The 12,189-nt window shown below is 40.3% G+C and overlaps 1 protein-coding gene across 60 annotated transcripts in view; it reads right to left on the bottom strand.

The window, feature by feature from the left end:
- Window positions 1-12,189, bottom strand: part of CELF2 (CUGBP Elav-like family member 2) — an 874,126-nt gene that overhangs the window by 188,286 nt on the left and 673,651 nt on the right. Inside the window, exon 2 of one of the 60 annotated variants that reach the window (NM_001326334.2) lies at window positions 7,946-8,130. The exons of the other annotated variants lie outside the window; for them this stretch is intronic. The gene's annotated coding sequence lies outside the window, so the exon portion shown is untranslated. The remainder of the gene's footprint in view (window positions 1-7,945; window positions 8,131-12,189) is intronic. 60 annotated transcript variants of the gene reach the window in all.

Raw genomic sequence — 12,189 nt, 5'->3', positions numbered from 1 at the left:
ACACTTGGCCTATTCCAGACCAGTCAGCAAAAGCAATGCCTTCCGTTACACGCTGTGTGAAGGCAGGCACAGGCCTCCGCTGGCTAAATCTGAACAATGAGCAATGCCCACAGCTTAGGGTTCTCACTGTTGCCCAAAATACCAATTGAGTACGGCTGAAATACCTTTTACTCTCTCAGTTGTAATATTAGTACGGCTGAAATACCTTTTACTCTCTCAACTGTAATACAAGGAAACTTAATGCACACATTTAGAAAAAACAGAGGAGCCCCTTCCTTATCAAGCCACGTTCTTCTTGCCGGACTGGGGTCACTTTCATGGCTGTTCATTTATGCAAATAAACAAGCAGCGCTCTCGTACTTTAATGTAAAATCTATCTTACATACATGTACTATTTCACACACCTTCCTCATTCTGCCCTGTGGCCGTCTGAGGGAGAGAGAAACCTCTTTGCTGCCACTGTGCCATGCCTCCTGCTGGGAGGAAGGAAATCTTGCCTTGTGTGTGAGCCCAGGCGAGGCTCTGCTTGGCAGTTTTACAGACCTGTGGTCAGGTGTTCACAAAAATGGATTTGCAAGTGATACAGTAATATGAAATCTCAACTCTATGCCGTGGAGATAATTATAATCAGGACAATTTCCTCCTAACAAAATCGGCAAACCGTTATTATGTGTGTTTCTGTAACTTAAATTCTGCATTAAATACAAGAGGAATCCACTTGCCTTGCATATATTGCCATGTGATTATGAAACGCTGAACCAAATCACTTTAAAAGACTCACCCTACTTAACAAAGGCATCCTGGTTTATATGCATAAAAGCCACACTCCAAAAAGCTTATGGGGACAAGCTTTGCACATGCATTTTATTTTTTAATGACTACAGAAGCTCCTGGGGCTCACGATATTAAAAGAAACAAAAAAGGAGGGAAGTAGCTTTGGTTTTTAATTACTTCTACCTCTAAATCTAACAATCTTAAAATAAGTGTTCTTTAAATATTTAGAAACAAACTAAAATGCGACCCATTTGACTTGTCCAGACACTGGTTTTGTGTCAGTACCACTACTGCTGGCACCACAATTTCTCACCAAGAGGGCAAAGCCAGAGCAAATGAAAAGTATGATTCCTTTTCCCAAAGTATCATCCTTCACAAAAACAAAAACCTGAAAATACCAAGTAGCAGTTTCTCTTGAATCCATCATCCCTTTTTCATTCCTATAGTCACCTTCACTGTGTATCCTGGCACACTCAAGCAGAGAGCCTGGCAGGCACAAGGGAGTGGGTGGGTGGATGGATGAAAGATTGATCAGATAAATAAACAGGACGTAGTAATGTGTCTCTTAGTTCAGGCACTGATCTCATTCTAATGACTTCCAGTAATTTTTATTTAGGCATCTTGCAATCTGAATGTCAATTTAGAGAACTAGATTGACCAAATCAGCTCCATCTTCTTCTTTCAAATAAACACATCCTTTCTGATGTCACACACCAAGGCTACAGGCTGGCTGCTGAGCTGCCTTACTTTTCACCCGTGCTATCAGGACGTCCAGGCAAAGATAACACTATGTGGATAAACACACCTGGGGATGTGGCTATGAGTTGCAAATGCAAGATGAACTTATCTGATGACAGGGAGAGTCAAGGTGCCTCTGGCCTCACATGGAAAGAATCCTGAAAAGTCCTCTTAGATTATGAGAAAGATTCCATTATTTAGCAATGGTATATAGTAACAAATCACCGACAGAGCACATGAGCGTGTGGCCATTGGGGAATGATGGAATGTGGCTTAGTGACCCCACGTTATTCTTCTCCAATCCACTTTCTTTGTGAGTAATTCCCTTCCACCAGTTAACCATGACCACAGACAGGCCACACAAGGAGTAATAAAATGGAAAGGGAAAACAAATTGCTTGTTTAGATGATAACAAAGATATTTCCTCATTATGAAAGCTGGATTGTTCAGACCTGAAACACAGCTATGCTTACACATTATCTTATCCATTTTTTAAGATACGTGTAGAGATACAGATATATTCCATATGTTCGAAAAGATACTCTGGTAGAAAGCTCGATTAATTACACTTTGGGTCCTTTTGGAAAACCCTCACATGAACATGTGGAAAATACTGCTAATAAGGTGTCATTATTTGAATAATTCATTCATTCACTAAAATGAATCTCTGTAAAATACTACAAAATATTTGTAGGAAGTGTAGTAAATGGAAAAGAGGGAGGGTTTTGATGCTTCAGACCCAAGTTCAGATCCCAGCTCCTGAAGCTTTCTTGCTATGCAATCCTGGGCTGGGATCAGAGTGCCAGATCCTACAGCAACAGAACAAGCACAAAGAGGCCCACCTCTCCATGCTGTTGTAAGGATTTAGTGAAATGTTTTACACCGTCTAAAAGTACCAGAGGAGAGTACAGGTAGGTATTCTCACAATGTTCTTGGATTTTAAGTAGTAGTTAGAAAATGAAAAAGAAAAAAGTATACATAAGGAATAATTCTCTCATAAAATGTAAACAACGTATATAAAATCCACATTTTAAACAGAAGCTACCTGGCCTAACCTGATCCCCAGCACCCAGAACGCTACAGTAGTGCAACCAATACTGGTAATGACACTAAAAAAAGAAAAATAAATGAAGCAACTTCTTATCTACCACAGAGGCCTGGCTGGATTTTCTAAAGCATGTCTGGTTTATGTGCAGTTGTTCTACATTCAGCTTGAAGGGAGCCCTGCACAGAGTGCTACAACCTCTCTGCAGTCACCCACAGCTCACTTCCGCTCTCCACTTCCTGCCTTCAGCGTCCCCACCCTTTTCAGTAGCTGATTTGAGAATATAGATTTCCCAGAAAAATTCTATCCTTTAATATCTCCACCCCACCAACTGGTTCTGTGCGGACAATTTTACCTGATTCTTATATTAAATGCAATCACTCACCAGGCAGTCATGTTTTCAAACGTGGGAGTCCTGCATACAACCTGCTATTATTTGCTTGGTCAGCACAAAGCACCTTTCAGAGACGCTCCTGAATCCTGACACTCCTGCAAACCCATCTGAAGCTCAGCCAGCTCTTTCAACAACACATAAAAGTATCTGTGCCACACAGATGCCTGAGACTCACTTATAGAGCAATTACAAACCTTGAGCAGCAGCAGTGTTTTACATTTGTTCTGTTCTGTATTTTTAGCCTGGGCTTTTTCCTTTCATGGATTATGGTAAATATAACATTTGCTTCCAGAATGTGGGACTTGCTGGGATAATAAAGGAAAGTACATAACAAACAGATTACCTTTGGCTACTGCATTACAGGGAGGAACACAGTTATGCTAAGTGGATGGATTTAGTTATATTCAAATTCTATTAAGCTGCCTTGCCTTCGACACAGAAATAAACAAGAAAGTCTTACAGCTTCGCATATTTTCAACTCTCCACTCCCCAGTCAGGGCTTGGCGAGGGGTGCCTTTTTTTTTTTTTTTTTTTTTTTCTGTTTCCTGAGACAGGGTCTCCCTCTGTTGCCCAGGCTTAAGTGCAGTGACACAATCATGGCTCACTGCAGCCTCAACCTCCTGAGCTCAAGTGATTCTCCCACTTCAGCCTCCCGAGTAGCTGGTACGACAGGCGTGCACCACCACACCTGGCTGATTTTTTATGTTTTGTACAGATGGGGTCTCCTCATGTTGCCCAGAGTGGTCTTGAACTCCTGGCTCAAGTGATCCTCCTGCCTCGGTCTCCCGAAGTGCTGAGATTATAGGCATGAGCCACCGTGCCTGTCCTTGGGGGTGCTTTTTTTTTTTTTAAATAATACAGTCTATGTTTTTGAAAGTTTGTTCCTGAAGTTTCTTTCCTTCATTTAACATTGTCTAATCTGCTTTCTCAACACCAATTCAACACAGGAGCATGGGAGAGCCAAGTTAAATAAGCACGATAATTCTGCTGGAAACTACATACAGTCTGTTGCGTAGAAGCATACAGTAAACATTCTGCACCGAGCACTGTGTTTCATCCCCAGCAGATGACATTCCTTATGACTTTATATCCCATGGCTAAATTGATTAATATAATATCGAACTACTATTTGTGTATTTTGCCTAATTGCCCAACTACATAAATCATTATGAGCAAGAGGGACGGTTTTTTTTCCTTCTTACTCACAAGCCTGCTGCTTTTCTGACCTTGCCACGCATTAGCGAGAGTAAGTTGTAAATGCAGAGCTGCAAATGTCTTCCGAAGGCAATTACTGTGAAACTTTGTTCTAACATTATGAAATGCGGCATTTTCACTAGATAATGTCCATATTAACCAACCAGAGGCCTAGAGAGTGAACCCAAAAATGAAAAGAAAATGTACCACTAGCAAAGCATTAACTGCAGAAATGCCAAGCAGCTTTCTCAGCCAATTGAGTGGCAGCACTGATACACAGCAGTGCTGGGAATATACAATATTTAAAGAGCTGTCTCCTTCAGGTCTGTGCATTTTATTTGTTTCCTTTTTGAAGAATAAAGTAAAGACATTTACCACTCTGAAAAACAATTTAAGTCAGGTATAAACTTTGAAAAGAAATGTATTTTAATAAAAGATGAGAATAAATGCAAATATATGTCTAGAGACTTTCTAACGTAGATGCTTGGCAGAACACTGAAAAGGTTAATGCAAGGTCTATACTAAGACTGGTGCCTTTGGTAGCCATTTTGAAATAGCGAAATAAGCATAAAATATTGCAGGGCACGTTAAACTGTGTGGGGGCCTGAAGTTCTCAACGTGAGATATGCAAGAAACTACAAATAAGGGAAGAGGAAAGCAATGGTATGCATAGTAGAAAACATCCAACTAATTCTTCTGGGGTGGAAATCATTCCAAATGCAGATGAAGTCAGGAAGGCATGAATGGCAGCAACTGTCTGGCCTGGAAGGGTCCGTCAGTCAGACAAAACCGGAACTTGAAGTGAGAGGAAGCACACATATGGCGATCTTAAGCTGCAATGGTCAAGTCCCTAGGGCCTGAAACAAAGTGAATTTGTTTTTCTACAAGTCTCTAGCATTTCAAGGGTTTGCCGATTTCCAACAAACCAGAATCATGATGATTAAAGAACAGCAAGATATTTCATTAAACTGGATATTAGAACTGTGAAAAGGTGACAGAAGCCTATTAAGAATTGGTGGGATAAGGAAGAACATTTTTACCATCTCCAAAACCCAAGAGATATGGAATGGAAAAGTGTCCATTACAGGCACACAAAGGAAAAAGAGGACAACAGGAGGAGAGGAAGAAGCACGAGGGGAGCGAGATTCCCCAGTGGAGGGAGGACAGAAGAATCACGAGGGGAGTGAGTCCCCCCAGTGGAGGGAGGACAGAAGAATCACAAGGGGAGTGAGTCCCCCCAGTGGAGGGAGGACAGAAGAATCACGAGGGGAGTGAGTTCCCCCAGTGGAGGGAGGACAGAAGAATCACGAGGGGACTGAGTAACCCCAGTGGAGGGAGGACAGAAGAATCACGAGGGGACTGAGTCCCCCCAGTGGAGGGAGGACAGACCTTGGCTCTACCAGAATCTCTTCCTAACTACCTGGCCTTACGACTTACCTTCCCATTCATTCCACGCACCACTACTGAGTTCTTTTTCCTAACTACAGGTGTGTATTTCTCGGATCCTGTGGTCATTAATCTCTTTATGACAGCCCATCTGCTTTTTTTTTTTTTTTTTTTTGAGACAGCGTCTCGCTCTGTCACCCAGGCTGGACCGCAGTGGCATGATCTCGGCTCACTGCAAGCCCTACCTCCCGGGTTCACGCCATTCTCCTGCCTCAGCCTCCCGAGTAGCTGGGATTACAGGCGCCGCCACCATGCCATGCTAATTTTTTTGTATTTTTAGTAGAGATGGGGTTTCACTGTGTTAGCCAGGATGGTCTCGATCTCCTGACCTCGTGATCTGCCTGCCTCGGCCTCCCAAAGTGCTGGGATTACAGGCGTGAGCCACCGCGCCCAGCCCAGCCCAGCCCATCCACTTTTAATCGTCACTCCAAAGTTCTTCACCACTGGATCCAACTGATACTTTCAGTTCTTACCCTATTTTCCCCCATAAGAACCATAGGGCACAAACTCTTCCACCCTGTTGTCTGCCTCTGGACACTTCATTCACTTCTGCGCCCTAGAATTCGTTTCCAAATCAGAATTTGCTCCCATCAAGAAACAAGTTATCATTCAAGATACAGTGATCAATTCTTCTCTAAACGTACCACATTGTCATCTATGTAAGCCATCTGATGGGCAGTCACACTTTATGCAATCTCAGATGTTTTCATCTCAGGCAGCTACCTGGTTAAGGTATTACTTAACAAGTGGGAAAGTATGATGTCGTGGGAAGGCATCTTGCCAAGGAGTCCAAAGACCTTGTTTGCAGTCGTTATCTTCATTACTTATAAAGAGGGCTACAGGACATGACTTCATCTAAGCTACAGTCTCTCATTAATAATATGTCAGCTGCAATAATGTGATAGATTACAGTTGTTTCAAGGATTAAAACAGATACTATATGTGAAACTACTGTGCACGCTATTGAAACACTACATACCATACATTATGTTTTTATCTTTCCTCCCAACTAGACTAAATGTCTTGAGGGCAGGAACCAGGTCTAACAGTTCTCTGAATTTTCAGCCTTATCTATCAAGGCACATCACCATGAAACAGGAACTAAATAAACATGCAATGATTGATTAGTCTGCACTTCAAAGTCAACAGTGAAGGGCCTGAGGAACTGAGGACTGTTGCTTTTGTATTCTTCCCCACCCCAGGTTGTCTAGTCTAGACCACACAAATGTGTTTTCCACTTGGCTCCCCCAGAAAAATCTTCCAAGAACGTCAATCTGCTTCTGTTGCACCAGGTCCTTAAAATCTTTTACAGTTCCTGTAGGTACTCTTCAAGCCTTTCAGAATAATGAAGGCTTTTCAGGAGCTTTCTTGTGGCTTATTTTATAGCCTCACTCTTCCCATCCTACCCCTCCGAGTCTCTGCTCCTGACTGGTCGGCCCCCTGGTCCTCAAATGTGCTGAACTCACCCTTCCAATGTCCTCCATCGTGGGGACTGCCCCTTGCCTTTATTCCTTTTGCCAAATCCTATTTAACTTCACAACACTTCTCAGGGAACTATTCTGCTCCATCCAGTAACCCCAGCATAGGTTAGGGGGCACTGTGCTAGGAACCTCAGCTCCACATAATGACTTAGACAAGAGCTTCCCCACAAAGGAGTCAAGCATTCAGAGTTTCATTCTCAGACCTGAGCACAGCGCCCGGCATGTGGTGAGTGTTCAAAAAATTGTACTCAATGAATGACTCTACGAATACACAAAAGTTAGCAACTATGCTTTATTTTTTTAAGACAGGGTCTCCTTCTGTCACGCAGGCTGGAGGGCAGTGGTGTGATCACGCTCACTGTAGCCTCAACACCCCCGGCGCAAGCGACCTTCCCATGTCAGCCTCCCAAGTAACTGGGAATACAGGCGCACTCCATCATGCCTGGCTAATTTTTAAATTTTTTGTAGAGATGGGTTCTTGCTGTGTTGCCCGGGCTGGTCTTGAAATCTCGGGCTCAAGCAATCCTTCCCACCTTGGTCTCCCAAAGTGCTGGGATTACAGGCATGAGTCACTGCGCCTAACCCTTATTTTTAATACAAATAAGTGACTGGCACTATCCTAAAAATTGTTCTAATTTAACAAATTTGAGAGTATTAAATCTTAAATAGCGAAATTTATAAGTGACAAAGCAAATACAGTATTGTGTACTTTTTTCCAATATACCAAAACTTATTCATAATTAAAAATTCACATGCTCATAAAATACAGTAAGTCTTGTCTACATAAATACAAACACAGAAGAGCTACATGACGCTAAAGGTGGATGGACGGGTGACTATTGCACACCTACAGTATTTCACAGAGAAGCATACCAGATAGTTGAAATGGGGCACTTAAATGTCTAAAGACGGAGTTGGGCATGGTGACTCACTCCTGTAATCCCAGCTACCTGGGAGGGTGAGATGGAAGGATCACCGGAGGCCAGGAGTTCAAGGCTGCAGTGAGCTATGATTGCGCTACTGCACCGAACATGGGCGACAGATTGAGAACCCGTCTCCTAAACAAAACAAAAACAAAAACCAACATCAAAAGATGAAATCTAATATAATTCTTGCCCTTTTGGGTACCTATAATTGGGGAAGAGTGAAAATATACCAACCAGATTTCTTTTAAGGCAAATTTAGTTACGGTTAGGTACTTCTGACTAACTGATTGAGCAGAGGCAGTTTCTCAAAAGATAAAAGTTGGCTCACCATCTCTCAAAAACTAAAAATGTCTATTTTACTTTAAATGAAATCCCACGAAACCATTTCCGGTTTGAACCTCCTGGAAAATAACGCAAGTGAGAAATTGAAGATGGCTTACTCTACCATATTAACAGTGGAGACGAAGAGAAATGAGCCGATGAGAGAGGCAGAATTGAGAGGTTTGTTGAGATGACCTGAGGGGGTGTTTGCTGAATAAAAAAAAAAAAAAACTGAATGATGTGGTCTACTTTAGGGTACTGGGAAAGGAAACGGGGAGAGGTAAAGAATAGGTATTTGTGCAACTAAAATTTAGAAGAAGCATAAGGCAAGTCATCAGATAGCAGGGGGTAGGTAAGAAGGAAGAGTTAAACTCTTTAAAAGTGTTACCTAAAATAGACTAATAATGGAAAGATGTATACATTAATTGCACTCAAATAACTCACAAGCTTGAGCGATACCTTCCTTGTAGGTTACATTTTTACATAAAAATCACATAATCTATATGGAAGTTTCATCCCCAAAAGTAACTAAACTATTTATAAGAAAACACTGATATGGCCCCTTTTATTTAGCACATAATACCATAAATAATAATGCAAAGTTTTCTAGACAGTTTAAAATATTCCTCGAAAGTCAATCAAGGGTTCAAAAATAATCCTGAATTTTAACAGAATTTCTTTCCTCACTCTTTTCAACTATTTAGAACTGTGTTTTGCAAAGACAATGTTTCTTGAAATTTCATTTAAAATTTTAAATTTACAATGAAAGCATGATGATTCATGCACTATGTAAAAGGATTTAAAGATAGTAGCAAGCTATAAAATTCTGATAGTTTTCTTCATTGTTTAAAACTACTCATTTCAGCATAAACTCCACATTTATTTATTTCAGTTTCCTTACAAGTAACATTCTCCAGAGCATTACTGTTTCCATAGATATTCTTTATACAGGGCGGCTGAAAAATTCTCAGTATGATTAAGGTAATTCACTTTCATGACTTAAGTAATTGAGCCTATCTTTGCAGTTATTAATTATAATTACATTATATGTACTTTCCAAAAAATAGAATAAATATAATTGCCATAACTGTACTGTAAAAAACAGTAATTACATATTAACTCCCATCAGTTCAGTCACATACCACTGCACTTAATGCCTTCAGTATGTTCCAGGCTCAAGTTAAATGGTAAGCACCAACTTTCCCACTTACACTTGATAATTTATGGCCGTTTTCAGTCACAGCACCCAAGGTTCCATCTTACATCATTATAAATTGTTTAGGAGGGAGAACACTGCTCTGTTTAACACACACGAGAGATGATTTCCTACTGAACACATGCCACTCATTTTAGCATCTTGGCTTCTTTAAAGAAAACAAGATTTGAAATACAATAAACAAAGCCAGTTCATGACACCTGCCCCCAGTCTTCTAAAAGTAAACGTTTGGCAGTATGTTTTCAGGCTCATCTTTTTACTGTTCGATGATAAATTCTTTGCGAGTTTGCACCATAGCACCCAGCAGAGTATCCCGATCCTGTGTGTGTCATAGCTGTCGGTGTGTAAACACAGAATGAATAAAATAAGTCTGTCAAGGAAGAGACCCAGGACAAGCATGGAAAAGCTGTACCGTCTTGAACAGCAATGGCCACTCAGAAGCTCTCTGTGCTGCAACCGAAGGCTGGGACAGTTGAGAGCTACAGAGAAAATGCCCAGGAAATGTCATACTCTGGGACTTTAGTCTGAGCCTCAGGATAAAAAATAATTCCATTTACGTGTCTCAGTTTATTTTTTAGAAATGATCTAATATTTAATATGTAAACATCTCCAAGAAATGGCAGCTGCTGGGAAATGAAAATTCCATAATCATTACTGTCAGTATTTCAAAGTCTCTTATGGAAATTGCTATATTCTGTTTCCATATAGTTTCACATTGTGCTAATTTTGTTTATTTTAATGTGCTAGAAATAACTTTAAATTTGTGTCTAAAAAATATAATTAATTAGGTCTATATTCCAAGCCAAAATTCATCTATCATCTAAATCTGTTTTTCCCCCATTTTTATTGGGGCACAATTAACAAACTGTGCAAATTATTTTTACCATCCTAAATTGAACAAACACTGGTTGGTATACATGCTATGAATGACTAAACAACGTACAGTCAGATTCTCCTCTTTGGGTACACATTACAAGGGAACACTTGAAGCTTGGCTCCAAATTCTATAATTTTCAATCACTGAAAGAATATGGATAATTCTGTTTTTAAAAGTTTACACAATTGCTGAGATCCACACAGAAATGGTATTTAAAAAGGACAGTAAGTTACTCTGTGGAGCTGAATTTGTCGTACTTTTCAGGGAAAGGCAAATTAATATACACGCAGTAGGCTCTTTTAACTAACTGAGAAAATGATGATGATGTAATGAGAGTCAATAATGGAGTGCTTAATGTATGCCAGACTTTGGGTAAGTGCTTAACATCTATTTAACATTTTCTATATCCCTATCAGATAAGTACTATTACTCAGGCCATTTTATAGAAGAGAAAACTGAGTCTAAGAAATTTAAGTCCTGTGGCCACACAATATAGTCAGAGTACACACATGTACACAAAACCATCTGACTCTAAAACCAAAGCTCTTACCCACAGCATTGTACTAACACGGCTTCCACCCTCTGGAATTTATATGCATCCAACTCCCAAAGAATATGCCTTAATTTCCAACTATTTAAGTCACAGAGGGCTAACTCCAGAAGATCTACTGAAAAGTATTAAATAGAACATTTCTAACTCTACTCTATTGACTCCAGAACTCCCAAGCGAGGATCTTCTGGTCTACTTTAGAAAGCCAACCTACAGCAATCTCTAACATTTCAAATGATCCAAAAAGCTCTTACACCATAACTTTTCCTTACTTTATTCTGATATCACATTGTATTTTCCAAGCTGTACACTTTTCACATGTGCATGTGCATACATACATAGGTATATACATATATAATCTTACATATATGCCATATAGTCACATATACACATATATGTATGTATTTAAATTAGATAGCATTTTGAAAAAGAAAAAAAGCTTATTTTAACTGAATATATTTCTAAGTAATTAGAAATTCACCTTTGCTTTATGGTTGGATAATATTAAGTCAGCAGAATGATATGCCATCTGAAGCAGAGGTGGCCTGTGTTTCAAAAATTCCAAATACCTTACGGCAGCAAATTGTAACATCCTAATAGTGATGTTTAAATTATAAATATTAAAATAACAAAACACTAGAAGTAGGATGGAATCAGGATGTGGGAAAATTGAGGTGGAAGGAGACATTCGGTGAAGAGCTAGTGACAGCCGGAACACTGTTATTGTTAGCCTTACTCACTTAGCAATTAACCAGGTTTGTCTGCTATCGTTTAACTTCGTTTTTTTCTTTATATTTATTTATCTATTAATTTATTTATTTTTGAGATGGAGTTTCGCTCTTGTTGCCCAGGCTGGAATGCAGTGGAGCAATCTCAGCTCACTGCAACCTCCGCCTCCCAGGTTAAAGTAATTCTCCTGTCTCAGCCTCCTGAGTGACTGGGATTACAGGTGCCTGCCACCATGCCTGGCTAATTTTTTCTTATTTTTAGTAAAGATGGAGTTTCGCCACGTTGGGCAGGCCAGTCTCGACTCCTGACCTCAGGTGATCCACCCACTTCAGCCTCCCAGAGTGCTGGGATTACAGGTGTGAGCCACCGGGCCCGGCCAAGTTTAACTTTTCATATGCTGTTTTCCCAGCCAGAATATAAGATCCTCAGAGCCCAGGAACCATGCTATATTCTCTATCATCTCAAGTAGTCAGCATAGTACCTTTCTCCTGAGAACTG

Source organism: Homo sapiens, chromosome 10 (genome assembly GCF_000001405.40).
Source record: "Homo sapiens chromosome 10, GRCh38.p14 Primary Assembly".
NCBI classification, from domain to species: domain Eukaryota; kingdom Metazoa; phylum Chordata; class Mammalia; order Primates; family Hominidae; genus Homo; species Homo sapiens.
The sequence above is the reverse complement of the archived record's forward strand: the minus strand, read 5'-3'. Positions and strand labels throughout refer to the sequence as shown.